Source organism: Homo sapiens, chromosome 6 (assembly GCF_000001405.40).
Source record: "Homo sapiens chromosome 6, GRCh38.p14 Primary Assembly".
NCBI lineage: Eukaryota > Metazoa > Chordata > Mammalia > Primates > Hominidae > Homo > Homo sapiens.
In genome coordinates, this window is record NC_000006.12 from 38,809,985 (window position 1) to 38,824,079 (window position 14,095).

Below are 14,095 nucleotides of genomic sequence, written 5' to 3' on the forward strand. Positions count from 1 at the left end.
TACTTAAGCCTTTCTCTGTACTTTTTAGTTTTACCTCTTAAAAATATTTTATACCTGATAATTTTCCTTCAGTCTCATTATTTCTGTCTTAGTGAGTTCAATTTGTTTGCATTTATTGTGATTTTTGATATAGTTGCACTTAATTTATGACATTTTATTTTGTGTTTTCTTCTCAACATTCTTTTTCTTTGATTCATTTCATTATGACTGTTGTCTTTGCGGTGGATAATTTTCACCATTTATTCTCTTTTCTGTACTTCAGTTCTTTAAGTGATTACCCTTAACTTTAGAATGCACATATTTTGCTCCAACTAAAAGAAGTACTGGCCAGGCGCAGTGGCTCACCTCTGTAATCCCAGCACCATGGGAGGCCGAGGCAGGCGAATCACTTGAGGTCAGGAGTTTGAGACCAGCGTGACCAACATGGTGAAACTCTGTCTCTACTAAAAATACAAAAAGTAGGCAGGTGTGGTGGTGCACGCCTGTAGTCCCAGCTGCTAGGGAGGCTGTGGCAGGAGAATCGCTTGAACCTGGGAGGTGGAGGTTGCAGTGAGTCAAGACTGTGCCATTGCATTCCAGCCTGGGCAACAGAGTGAGACTCCATCTCAAAAAAAAAAGAAAAAAGAAAAAGCACTGTCCTTAGTTTTGCAGTTTTCTAGTCTTATTTCTGACTACAAGGGCCTTGGCAGGCTTTACTCACTGAACTGTACATATTTTATTCCTGTTTGATGTTTTAGTTTTACTTTTTTGTAAACACTCAAAAATAATATATTAAAATAATTTATTTACTGGCATAATTTATTAAAATCTCCAGGTTCTCATGTAGTTTTTTGTATCCCATTGGTTCTTTAGTGAGGATCTGTGAGAGGTAGACTCTTTTATCCTTTTTTGTAAGTCTGAAAATGTTTTGCCCTCATACTTTCATAACATTTTGGCTGGATATAAAATTTTTCTTTGTCTTTTAGTACTTGGAAAGTATTTCTTCATTTTTTTCTGAGTTTTGTTGCTGCTGATGAGAAGTCTGCAAGAGTCTAACTGAATATTCTCTTTTAATCCTTAATGTTTCTGCAGTTTTCTTTACCCCGTGTGGATTTGTCTTTATTTAATCCTGCTTTGTTCTCAGAGTGCACTTTCTATTTGAGGGTTTATAGCTTTCCTTAATGCTAGAAAAAACCTCAGCAATTTTCCCTTTAGTTATTGCTTCTAGGATATTCTTTCATTGTCTTCTTCTGGAACTCCTATTAATTGAATGTTGGGTAGAATGACCACATAACTTATTGTTCCAACTATGGAACTTTTGTGAGTGAAGGAGCACTGTCCAGATGAGGTGCCAGGACACAGTGAATCTGGAACTGTCCTGGGCACACTGGACATGTGGTTATTTCATATGTTGGGGCTTCTCATTCTCTTCTCGTTGTCTCCTAATGACTCTGTCATCTATGTTATCTTTTTGCCTTTCTGAACTACATTATGGGCAGTATCTCTGTATCTATTCTAAAGATTTTGTCATCTGTGGCATCTTAAATATTTCAAGAAAAAATACTTTTTCCTTATCCTCCAGATATGGTATTATTTCTGCCTTTTTAGTTTAGCAAATTTTTTATTTTTTTGGAAGAGTCTTCATATATCACTGAACATTTTCCCTTACTTTAGAGCTTGTTATCTGGACATTAATTTTTATCTAGAGTGAGTTTCTGTTTCGTTTTTGGATTTCGTTAGCTCTCTTTCTTACCCTTAGACATATTCACGCATACTTGGGTTTTAATGTGCAGGCTCTCTTTGAGCGAGAGCTTTGTTTTTGTGTTTCTTTTTCCTTCTCTCTCTCCCTATCTATGAGTTTCACTTTTGCCTCTAAATGACACTTGGAACCCTGAGTACAGAACCAGGTCTTATTTCTTCACAGTTACTGGCCCCTGGAGAGATACTGGGGGTATGGCAGGTTTGGCTAGGGAGCACACGGGTAGCCTAACTTAGTTACTTATCAGGGAATTTGTGGATGTGCTTCTTTTGCCCCAGGTCTGCATCTCCTGGAAAAGCCATAGCTGCAGGAAGTAAGTTGACGCATTTTGTCTTGCAGCATCATCTGCAAGACAGATGGGAGAGCATCATCTTAGTTTTTGGCCTTAAGTAGTGAGGCTGGCCGAGGCCCCATCCCTCATTGAGTCCTGTCCATCCTCTATATTCCACCAGAGCCAACCTCCCCACGGTCACTGCCTCTTTCCAGCCCGGAACCCTGGCTAGGCTGTCCTTGAGTTTCTCTCCATTTCTACTTCATGGAGATGCTTACCTTGTATTTGAGCATTCTCATGTCCTTTATCTCCCATCCATGATTGTGATGAGTTTGGCAAAAAGAAGCTTTTTTGAAGTATGAACTCACTATGCTACATTGATTTACAAGTTCTGCGGCAATTTAGCAATTTTTGAGGAGGCATACATGAGGATAGTACTAAAAACCCTTACTTGTCTAAAATGTCTTTCTCTTATGCCCACACACGAACGCTAGCTTGGTCTTCTGGGATCAGAATCCCTTTCTGTCACGCTCTACAGAGGCTGCTCCATTGGCTTCTTTGGTTTCAGTTTTTAGAGGAGAGTTCTGCTGCGAATCCGATTTTCCTTTCCAACTAACAACTTGTATTTGTTTTGATGCTGACAGGATTTCTCTTTTATTCTTGAAATTCACAAATTGTATGTTTAGATGCAGGTGGATTTCCCCCCATTAATCCTGTCAGGCACCTAGAGAATCTCTTGAAGATGAAAAAAAAAAGCCTATTCTTAAGGTTAAAGGAGTGCTTTGCTTTAATTTCCCATATCTACACAGTATTCACGTGCCGTATCTAGGTAGTAAGCATCTCTGAGCGGAGTGACTCTCTGGAAATTACTTAGCCTCTCCCTACCTTGGTTTCCTTATCTACAATATGGAAAGAATAATAATCGTAGGGTCTGCCTCACAGAATTAATGTGAACATGAACTGGTAATCTATGGAAAGTGGCTGGCATACATTAAAACATTCAATAAATGTTACTTATTCTTACCTTTTCTCTAAGTATTTTCTCTCTCTTTGTATTTTGCACCTGAAATTTTGGAGAATACCTTCAGCTGATTCTCTAATTTGCTATATAAGGTACCAAATGATCTAGTGCACTGTTCACTGCCTTTATTATTCAACTGTTCCTTTATACTTTATGAAAACTCTTTCTTATTCTCAAATTACACACTTTGAATCAATGCCCACACTAATTTTATTGCAACATCTTGAATTTCACTGGGACACTATGAATTGAGGGGTTTTGTTTGCTTGCTTTCTTTTTGTTCAGTCCTTTCCAATAATACGTTTATCTGGGAACCATTGGCCCTGAGTGCTAAAAGTTGGGTCTTCACTTTTGAACTGTGGCCTCTATGTTTCTTGTGATCCCCTCCCACCCCCCATCTGCTTGTATTTAGAAATGGAGGTGTAAGTTTTCAGTAATGACGGTATTTCTTGCACTCCCAGAGAAAAAGAGAATGGACAGTTTACATTTATTATAATTTTGCCTGGGATAGGGGTGGAGGTTAAGACAGAGGGAGCTATGCTAGCCAGACTAATTTGCAGCTCTGCATGTGTCCTTCATAACTGGACTCAGGCGTCTGTGCTGCTGTCTGTGCATGAGTGATATTGTTTAACAACGCGGTTTTTGGAAAGCATGGACCAGAAACTTCCTGTTTAATCTTGTGAAAATATAGATAAAGAAGCATATAAAAGTATATGCTGGTGATCTCATCTTGTATCTGTTGCAGGGCTGGGAACAAAGAATGCCTTTAGTAAACATTGTTAAAGGTTATTACTGAGAAAGAACAACATTAAAATAGTAGAAAATGTATATGAGATTACTATTTTACTTCTAAGACTATTGGGTCATTGTATTTTCTTAGTTCTCTGCAATTTAGGGTTCTGTTATAAGTAATATTCTCTTTGTGTAATTTGGCCTTTTAAAAATGATCTTTATTGTTCGGACTGAATTTTGTAGCATAATAAACTAACAATGAAATTTTAGGGTAAGGTTCATCAGCTAAATGTCCATCTCATTGCAGCCTTTATGGGCGAAAGCAGTCAGAAGATATTATTTCCTTTATAAAAAGTGAAGTACATCTTGCAATTCCTAATGTGGTAAGTATTATTAAATACACTGATAATTTGATAAGGTGCTTAAGAAGTATAGTACTAGAACTGAGCTTTCATTTAGGTAACATTTTGGTCCTATGTCTTTTTTCACTTTCCCTCACTATTTAACAAATTGGAAATGTCATTTATATCTGTTATGAAAAAGCTACTTCTGGGATGGGTGCAGTGGCTCACGCCTGTAATCCCAACACTTTGGGAGGCCAAGGCGGGTGGAGCACCTGACGTCAGGAGTTTGAGACCATCCTGGCCAACATGGTGAAACCCCGTCTCCACTAAAAATACAAAAATTAGCCAGTTGTGGTGGTAGGTGCCTGTAGTCCCAGCTACTTGGGAGGCTGAGGCAGGAGAATTGCTTGAACCTGGGAGGTGGAGGTTGCAGTGAGCTGAGATCATGCCACTGCACTCCAGCCTGGGCGACAGAGCAAGACTCTGTCAAAAAAAAAAAAGTTACTTCTGTATTAGCTCATGATGTATTGAAGGACTCGTGAAAGAATTGAGTTAGGCATCTGTTCTGCCAGCAGTTAGCAAGCACCCTACAAATTGCCTTGCTTTTTCTTACTTCAGACATTAAATTATCTAAATAAAATCATCACAGTTGTCCAGATCCCTACCTCAAACACATGACTGTGAGGCAACGCACTAAGGTAAGGATGGCAGAAGAGAAAGACAAAAAGAGCCTGTGCCCTGAGCATCTGAATCACCCGTGTCTTCCCATGGCACTTATCTTTACAACTACCCCAGCTGCTGATGGGCATCTGGAACTCCAAGCCACATGGGATGGCTGAGCTGCATTCTGCGATGGGTCAAAGGATAAGGCCAGGCAGAAACGGTCCGTGACTCACCTAAAACCACCTTTACATGGTCTGACCTCCTGAAGGATACCTTCTTAGCTTATTTGGCACATTTCAAAGAACTGAGGTCAGAATCTTGGTGGTGTAGCTTCTTCAGTTACTTTGTTTCATAGATCTCTAACACATAGTCTGTAATTTCCCACTGCATTCTGCCACCCTCATGGGGAAAAGGATGACAAGTACTAGTTTGACCTTTTTAACAAAATCAAAATGTCATTTCTATCTGTTATTAAAAAGTTACGTCCGCATTAGCTCGTGGTGTAATGAGGCTTGCAGGAATCGATAGCGGGAAAACTTCAGGATAGAGAAAATCTGCATCCTCCCCATCTTCCTCTATCATTCTCCCCCTCAAATCAGCCTTGCACTGGGCCAGCCGAGGCTTGCCCCACTCAGTGGGGAATGGAGGTGGTGAAAATTGAGGGATGGACTGTATGTGCCGGCAGTATTACACATTTGTTTCTTCTTTCCACAGGTGATGATTCCTAGTTTGGATGACATTCAACAAGCCATTAACCGTATGATCCAGTTAACCCTGGAGGTCAGCAGAGGAGTGGCTCACTGGGGGCAACAGCAAATCCGTCCCATCAAGTCTGTCATTCCCAGCCCCACCACTACTGACGTGACCCATCAAAACACAGGAAAACTGCTGAAGAAGGAAGAAAGTAAGAATGTAAAATTAGTCAATGATCTTACTGATCCTTTTTGGATTTGATAGCATATAGATTTTTAAATTATTTTATATGTTTGATACCTTTTGCATTTAAAAAATAGTATGTTTCATCTTAAACATAACGTGCAGGCATTTTTTCCTGGCTTTGGGTGGTGGGTGAAAAGGATTTTTAAATCACTTTTCTACTATGATGATCTTAAGTTAAAAATTAAAATAAACCTTAGCACTAATTTTACTTTCTGCATGATAGTAGGTTGGATAAACTTAAGGTAAACATAAATTCGTCACTTAAGTAGTTATGAATATGATATGATAGTGACCCAAAATGTTATGAACATTTTTTTGACACTTCCTGTATAGAAAGAAACTGGTTTCTTTTTTATTTTATTTTATTTTGTTTTATTTTATTTTATTTTATTTTATTTTAGTTCTAGGGTACATGTGCAGGATGTGTAGGTTTGTTACATAGGTAAACATGTGCCATGGTGGTTTGCTGCACCTATCAACCCATCACATAGGTGTTAAGCAAGCATGCATTAGCTATTTTTCCTGATGCTCTCCCTCCCTTCACCCCCATCCCCCACCAACAGGCTCCAGTATGTGTTGTTCCCCTCCCTATGTCAATGTGTTCACATTGTTCAGCTCCCACTTACAAGTGAGAACATGTAGTGTTTGGTTTTCTGTTCCTGCATTAGTTTGCCAAGGATAATGGCTTCCGGCTCCATCTATGTCCTTGCAAAGGACATGAACTCATTCTTTTTTTATGGCTGCATAATATTCCATGGTGTATATGTACCACATTTTCTTTATGCAGTTTACCATTGATGGGCATTTGGGTTGATTCCATGTCTGCTATTGTGAATAGTGCTGCAATGAACATAGGCGTGCATGTATCCTTATAATAGAATGATTTATATTCCTTCGGGTATATACCCAGTAATGGAATTGCTGGGTCAAATGGTATTTCTGGTTCTAGGTCTTTGAGGAATTGCCACACTGTCTTCTACAATGGTCGAACTAATTTACATTCCCACCAACAGTGTAAAAGCATTCCTATTTCTCCACAGCCTTGCCAGCATCTTTTGTTTCTTGACTTTTTAATAATTGCCATTCTGTCTGGCATGAGATGGTATCTCACTGTGGTTTTGATTTGCATTTCTGTAATGATCACTGATGTTGAGCTTTTTTTTATATATGTTTTTTGGCCACATGAGTGTCTTCTTTTGCAAAGTGTCTATTCATGTCCTTTGTCCATTTTCTGATGGGGTTGAGAAACTGGTCTCTTCAACTGGTCTCTTTAACTTTTTAATGGGGTTGAGAAACTGGTCTCAAAACTATGTCACTTCCACTGTGATGCAGGGAAAGGCAAATTGAAAATAACAAGATACCAGGTAAGGCCCAGTGTGGTGGCTCACGTCTGTAATCCCAACATTTTGGGAGGCCAAGGCAGGTGGATCATCTTAGGTCAGGAGTTTGATATCATCCTGGCCAACATGGCAAAACACTGTCTCTACTGAAAATACAAGAATATTAGCCGGGCATGGCGGCACACACCTGTAATCCTAGCTACTGGGGAGGCTGAGGCAGGAGAATCACTTGAACCAGAGACAGAGGTTGCAGTGAGCTGAGATTGCACCACTGCACTACAGCCAGAGCAACAGAGGGAGACTCCATCTCCAAAAAACAAAAAACAAAAACACCCCCAAGATACCAGGTAAGCTACACAACCAGGTGGCTCAGACCCCTATGGCACCTTTCTATGTTGCACTAACATTGCTTTCTCAGCTTACATCTGTGGTCTCATGGGGTGTTCCCTACAACCAGCTAATAAAGGATGAAAAATCTCAGGACTGGTCTATCTGAATTGGCTTGATGTGTTGGTGTCAGCTGAAAATGGACTTCTGTTTCACTACAGCCCACTCAGGAGTGGCCCTAAAGGAGAGTGAAAAGGGGAATTCCCCCCAGAGGGCAGAGCTTCAAGTAGTATACCTTTTTTATAAGGAGAGTGGTCTGAAGCAAAGATATACATGGACTCTTGGGCAGTGACGAATGGCTGGACTGATCATTCAGGACCTAGAAAGAGCAACTTTGGAAAATCAGAGGCAAGAAGAGCTAGGGAAAAAGCATGTGGATGTATCTATGAATTTACATAAAATACCTGGGAAGATAAATATTAGTTCCTTCAAGGGCTGATCATGATCTTGAAAGACACAATCCAATGCCATAATCTCAAATGTTGAAATCCCAAAAGATCAAAATCCAAAAAATATAATTCTGGAAAAAATAATTATTATTTTAATAAACAGTTCTTTTAAATATATTTATTTACATTTTTAAAGGGGGATTTGATTTTCAGAATTTTAGACATGGATTTTATACTTTCGGGATTTAGATTTTAGGGATTTTGAGCTTTTGGGATTTCTGAGATTATGGTGTTTGGGATTGTGTTTTCTGAGATTATGAATCAAACCCAGTTCTTTCTTCAGAGAGGTTAAATAATTTTTCCAAAGTCACAAACCTAATAAGAGGGCTGGGAATTAATCCATACAAGAAGATCAGTATCTAATTTTTTTATGTTTAGTCCAATGTTTGCCATTATTCTTTATTCTCTCCCTAGTCCATTCTATATATTTTTCTATTATTGTAGCAGGCTAAACATAAAACTATAAATTGTTAGATGCAAAAATCTCCTTGGACTTATCAACAATCTTGCAAATAAGAATTCTATTATCTGCAAAATTATCAACCAAGTACGATGTAAATAGACATTTTCAGACATGCAGTGTCTTTTAAAATGTACCATCAACACATGCTTTTCCATAAAGTTACTGAAGGTTGTAGTCTTCCAAAATAAGAAAGCAAAAGCAAAAGCAAAAAAAAAAAAAAAAGAAGATATGGGATATTGGAAACAGGAATAAAACACAGCAGACAGGTGAAGGGAATTTCAAGGTGAATGTTGAAGGGTGATTGTGCAGTGATAGTTATGTTCTAAGCATAGAGGGCAACCAGTGTGACTTAGGAAACAGGTGAGTTTTGACTGCTCTCAACAAATGCTGGATGCCGTTATATATACTGTCTTTTAACTTGAAGGCAGAATGCCTGGGTAAACCTGGTCTGTATTCTTGTCTGGACTTTCTTATTCTCACCATGTGCTGATGAAGTTGTTGCTCTACACTCATTGCTCTGGGTCAGCTGAGGAAACTTATTCATTCCTCAGAAGCGTTCTGCCTTGACCAACTACTGAGAACTGGAGGCAGGTAATTGTGATATAAGGAAATAGAGATTAGCTCACTATCCTGGCCATTTTCTTGCTGGACATTTATTACTCGGCTCACAAACACAGTGCTGCCAGATGCCCTGATTGTCATGACACATATATTTTCTAGGACTTATTTATGATCCTGCCCCATAGCTTCCCCCACAAAGGGCTTTTGTAAACTTGTAGAAAAGATGAAGCCAGACCAGTCCCAGAGACTCTTTTCTTGTAGGAGCCTTCGTCTCACATGAACAATTAATGTTCTTTCCTTTATGGCTAGTTTTGTGCTTACTGCTCAGCTTTTAAAAGGTGTTTAGGGATAAACATGTTGGTTTATTGTAAAGTTTATCTTCAAAGAAAATTCAGGATAATGGTTGCCTCTGGGGGTAAGGGCAGGGAATGGGATTAGAGAGGTACCTAGAGAGGACTAATCTATTGGTAACATTCTATTCTTAACTTGGTGGTGAGTACATTGGAATTCATTTTTCTTCTTATTTAATATACATTTTACCTATTTCTTGTGTTTTATATATGTTTCTGTAAGTATATTTCACTTACCCACACATAGACTTAAATACAGCCTCCTATCAAACTAGGAATAAGACAGATTTTCCAATAATGTCATCTGTAAAAATATTTAGAAGTATTGCATTATCAATAAAATGAAGAATAAAGAAGGAAGCCCACTATTATCATTTTTATTTGATAGTTTACTAGAGATCTTCATTATGAAATAAGACAAGAAAAAATGAGAAGAATTGGAGAGGAAGACTGAGATTGTCCTTATTTAAAGATTATATATAGAAAATCCAGGAAATCTAGAAATAATTGTTACAACCAATAAGTTCAGTAATGTTTATGTATAAAAGATCAACATACAAAACCCCCAGTATTTTTACATTTACCAGTAATACAATTAATGTATAATAGAAACACAGATTTTTTTTATTAGCCACAAACCATAAGGTATTTAACAAATAAATGTAAAAAAAATTTGCACAGCATTTTTGGAGAAAATATTACTGAATGAGATAATGGAAGACAAGAATAAGTCCACATCATGAAGAAGTCAATTCTTTGATTAATCTATAAATGTAATACAATTCCAAAGAAATCATAATAGATTTTTTTCTGTTGTCAACTTGATTTATAAATTTGATTGTAAAATTATATAGAAGTGAAAAGAGTTAAAAATAGCTGAGAAAAATTGGTGTTGAAGAAAAGCAAGGTAGGGGGTCCTGCCCTGCCAAATAGCAAGGAGTGTTACAAAGCCAGGCTAATGAGGACCGTCTTTTAGTGATCCAAAGATAGATAACATACAGCAGAACAGGACAGAGGGTGCAGAAATACTCATGTTTATGAAAATATATGGTATAGGTGGATTTACAAATCAGTGGAGAAAGAATGTACTATTTAATAAATGTGGCTAAGGATTTGTTTCCATGTGGAAAAAACTTACAGTAGTATCTTGAATTAGATACACATCATACCCGCTATTCTATATCCTATAACACTATTCCATCTATTTTACAACACTTTTAGAATAAAACAGCACAATATATTTAAACCACCAGGGTAGGGAAGGATTCTCAAGACATACAAAGCTCAAACCATAGAAGAAAAGATGTTTAAATTTGACTTCTTTATATCTAAAAACATCTTTAAAGGACTCTTAAATTTAAATGACCATGCTGAAGTCCATAATAAAATGTTAGCAAACTGAATCCAGCAGTGTATAAAAAGTGTTGTATAGTTTGACCAAATGAGGTTTATCCCATAAAAGCAAGGTTGGTTTAACATCCTAAAATACACCATATGAATAGAATAAAGGGAAAAAACTCATGATTATCTCAATAGACATAGAAAAAATATTTGACAAAATCCAATACCCTTTCATGATAAACATGCTCAGCAATCTGGGAATAGAATTGAACTTCTTCAACCTTATAAAAGGCATCATACTTAATGTTGAAAGCCTGAATTTTTTCCCCCTAAGATTAGGAACAAGTCAAGAATACTAGCTCTTACCACATCTACTCGACATTATAGTGGAAATTCTATCAAGTGGATTAAGATAAGTGAACTAAATTGAAGATACACAGATGGGAAGGGAAAAAGTTAAACCATCTTTATTAGCAGATGATATGATTTTGTATGTAAAAATAACCTAAGGAATCAACCCTCACACACACAAAAAAACCCCATTAGAACTAATAAATGAATTCAGTAAGACTGCAGGATACAGGATTAATATACAGATATCAACTATATTTCTAAATATTAGCAATGAACCATCTGAAAATGAAATAAAACAATTTAATGCACAAAAGCAAGGAAGAATAAAATACATTTAACAGAAGTATAAGGTCTGTACACTGAAACTGCAAAACATTGCTGAAAGTTATTCTATGAAGAGATACATCATGCTCATGGGTTGGAAGATCTAATATTATTAAACTGGCAGTTCTTCCCAAATTGATCTACAGATTTTATACAATCTCTATCAAAATCCCAGAAGACTTTTTTTGCGGAAGAAATTGATAAGATGATCCTAAAATTTGAATAGAGAATAGGGGAATTCAAAGGACCTATAATGGCCAAAAAAATTTTGAAAAAGAACAAAACTGGAGAACTTACCACTACTTGGTTTTATTTATTTAGAGATGGGGTCCCACTCTGTTGCCCAGGCTGGAGTGAGGTGGTGCAACCTCAGCTTACTGCAGCCTCTGCCTTCTTGGCTGAAGCAATCCTCCCCTTTCAGCCTCCAAGTAGATGGGACTACCGGCACGTGCCACCATGCTCAGCTAATTTTTGTATTATTGTGGAGATAGGATTTTGCCATGTTGCCCAGGCTGGTCACGAAATCTTGGACTCAAACGATCTCCCCGCCTGGGCTTCCCAAAGTGCTGGGATTCTAGGCATGAACCACTGTGCCCAGCCAGCTGGAGTCAAAATTTATCTTCAAAAGATGTATTTTCAAGTTAGCCCTCATTATTAGAACTGATGCTTAGTCCACATGTCTCCTGTCAGCCTGGCCACAATTCTTGTATTTTGGATTCTTTTATCTCTATTTGAATATGCATATAGTGAATATACATATAGTGATACACAGGCCGATTCCTCCACTGGCCGTCAAACAGCTAAAACTATAGGTGAAATTCTCTTTTAGGTTACTGTGAGGAGGGGCTTATCTCTATTTGAATATGCATATAGTGATTCTTCACCAAGAATCTTTGGGATCTAATTTCTTCAACCAGTTTATTTTAGGGTCATTTTTAGAGTAGGTGGATCTGCCTAGTTTTCAATTTGACACCCTAGAAAAATAAAAGCATTGGTGACTATTGAAGACTGTATCAAACTGAACAGTCTAAGAAAACTACACAAATACTGTATCAGTAAAAATACCAGGTTTAACAAGCAGGAAGCCAAGATGCCAGATGCTGAATATCTACAGCGCTGACCTTTAAACACCCCAGCAGAGGTTGTCTCATTTAATTCTCACAAGTATATCCACGAAGACTAAATACTTGGCCCAGGGTCATTTGGATAATAAATGTAATGTCTCTCCTTGAACCACTGCGCTATTCCTCAGGGTGGAAATTTCAACGCTTTTAACCTTTTCTTAAAGGACTTTAACATTTTGGGGTGTTTTAATCAGTGTCTTTCAGTTATCCTCTCCGAATAACAGTTCTTCTAGATTAAAGAAATCTAGAGCTCAAAATCTGACACCATAGTTTAATGAGAATACATGAAGATAGCAAGAGAATAGCTCTTAATTACTCAAAATAGCTCTTAGTTTCTTGGAGGGAGAATCTTTAAGAAAATACAGTTTGAAAAAGAATCACAAATATTAAAACTGATAATATTTAAAGTTGAATATAGAAGTTATTTATAGTGTAAAAACATCTGTTTTCAGGATCTTTTGAAGAAGCTATTCCTGCGAGGAAGCTGAAGAATTTTTACCCGGGGGTAGCGGAGCACAAGGATATTTCTAAGTTGGTCCTGCTCCTTTCTTCCTCTGTAAATTCCCTAAGAAAGGCAGCTCATGAGGCCCTGCAGGACTTTCAGAAGTACAAGACTCTCTGGACAGAGGACCGCGATGTGAAAGTGAAGGTGTCTTTCTGCTACTTGTGATGTTGTTTGGGTTTTGTTTGTCTCTAATTCTTGAGGGTGGACCAGGAAAATATCAGGGATAATGACAGGAACCCATGAGCAGAGGCCAAGAATCTATAAATACCAAGCACCTGTCACCTTCTAGCTGGTGTAATTCTCACATGGACACACTGAGGCAATTGATATTACTGAGGCTCAGACAGATTTTGTTCAATTTCCTTAAACAATTGAGTACCAATTATGTGCCACCACGGACTAGAGGCTAGGTATTCAAGGGTGCGTCACACTTATGTAGACCCAGCTGTATTTCGGTTAGAGACGCAAGGGAACTTTAGAACTCTGAATAACCATGCCCTGCAGACTGTGAAATTCCTCGCTTCCTGGTGGACACCCTATTTCTTACCCAGCCACTGGCCCCATTGCACACACAAGTGTAAATGTGTATGAGCAAATGCAATTTTCTAATGTAACTATGGTAAGATTTATACTGTTAAAAAATTAAAATATTGACTATTTTCTTACCACAGGAATTTTTGGCTAACAACCCCTCTCTGACTGAAATCAGATCAGAAATTCTACACTATGCTACTTTTGAACAGGAGATTGATGAGTTGAAGCCTATTATTGTTGTAGGAGCACTTGAATTACATACAGGTATTTTAAAAATGTTTATTATGTAAAGTATCTGTACTTTCACATGAAGTGTTACTTTATTTAGCAAGCAGTTATTAAGTTATCTTGGTACAATAGTATTATACCAAGATATAATAATAATAATATACCAAGGTTATAATAATAGTATTATACCAAGATATATTATAATATTATTATACCATTAAAAGTAATGGCAAAAACTGCAATTACTTTTGCACCAACCTAATATAAATGTTAAATAGTTCTGGGCCATTGATATTCTTTATACACACATCCGTAGACACACTACACAGGACGATTCCTCCACTGGCAGTCAAACAGCTAAAAGTATAGGTGAAATTCTCTTTTAGGTTACTGTAAGGAGGGGCTTGTATACATGAGATGGGACTCA

General features: G+C 37.6%; 1 protein-coding gene and 1 non-coding gene across 11 annotated transcripts in view; one reads left to right on the forward strand and one right to left on the reverse strand.

The window, feature by feature from the left end:
* Positions 1-14,095, forward strand: part of DNAH8 (dynein axonemal heavy chain 8) — a 315,482-nt gene that overhangs the window by 94,674 nt on the left and 206,713 nt on the right. For all 10 annotated transcript variants that reach the window (XR_926078.3, NM_001206927.2, XM_011514319.3 and 7 more), the window contains 4 exons: positions 4,070-4,145; positions 5,484-5,673; positions 12,854-13,050; positions 13,578-13,704. Coding sequence is in view for 9 of the 10 variants with exons in the window: in NM_001206927.2 (NP_001193856.1) it covers positions 4,070-4,145; positions 5,484-5,673; positions 12,854-13,050; positions 13,578-13,704 (590 nt within the window). In the remaining variant the exon portion in view is untranslated. The remainder of the gene's footprint in view (positions 1-4,069; positions 4,146-5,483; positions 5,674-12,853; positions 13,051-13,577; positions 13,705-14,095) is intronic.
* Positions 12,323-12,417, reverse strand: LOC124900223 (small nucleolar RNA SNORA8). The gene has a single exon (XR_007059949.1). It is a non-coding gene; the product is annotated as a small nucleolar RNA SNORA8 (small nucleolar RNA).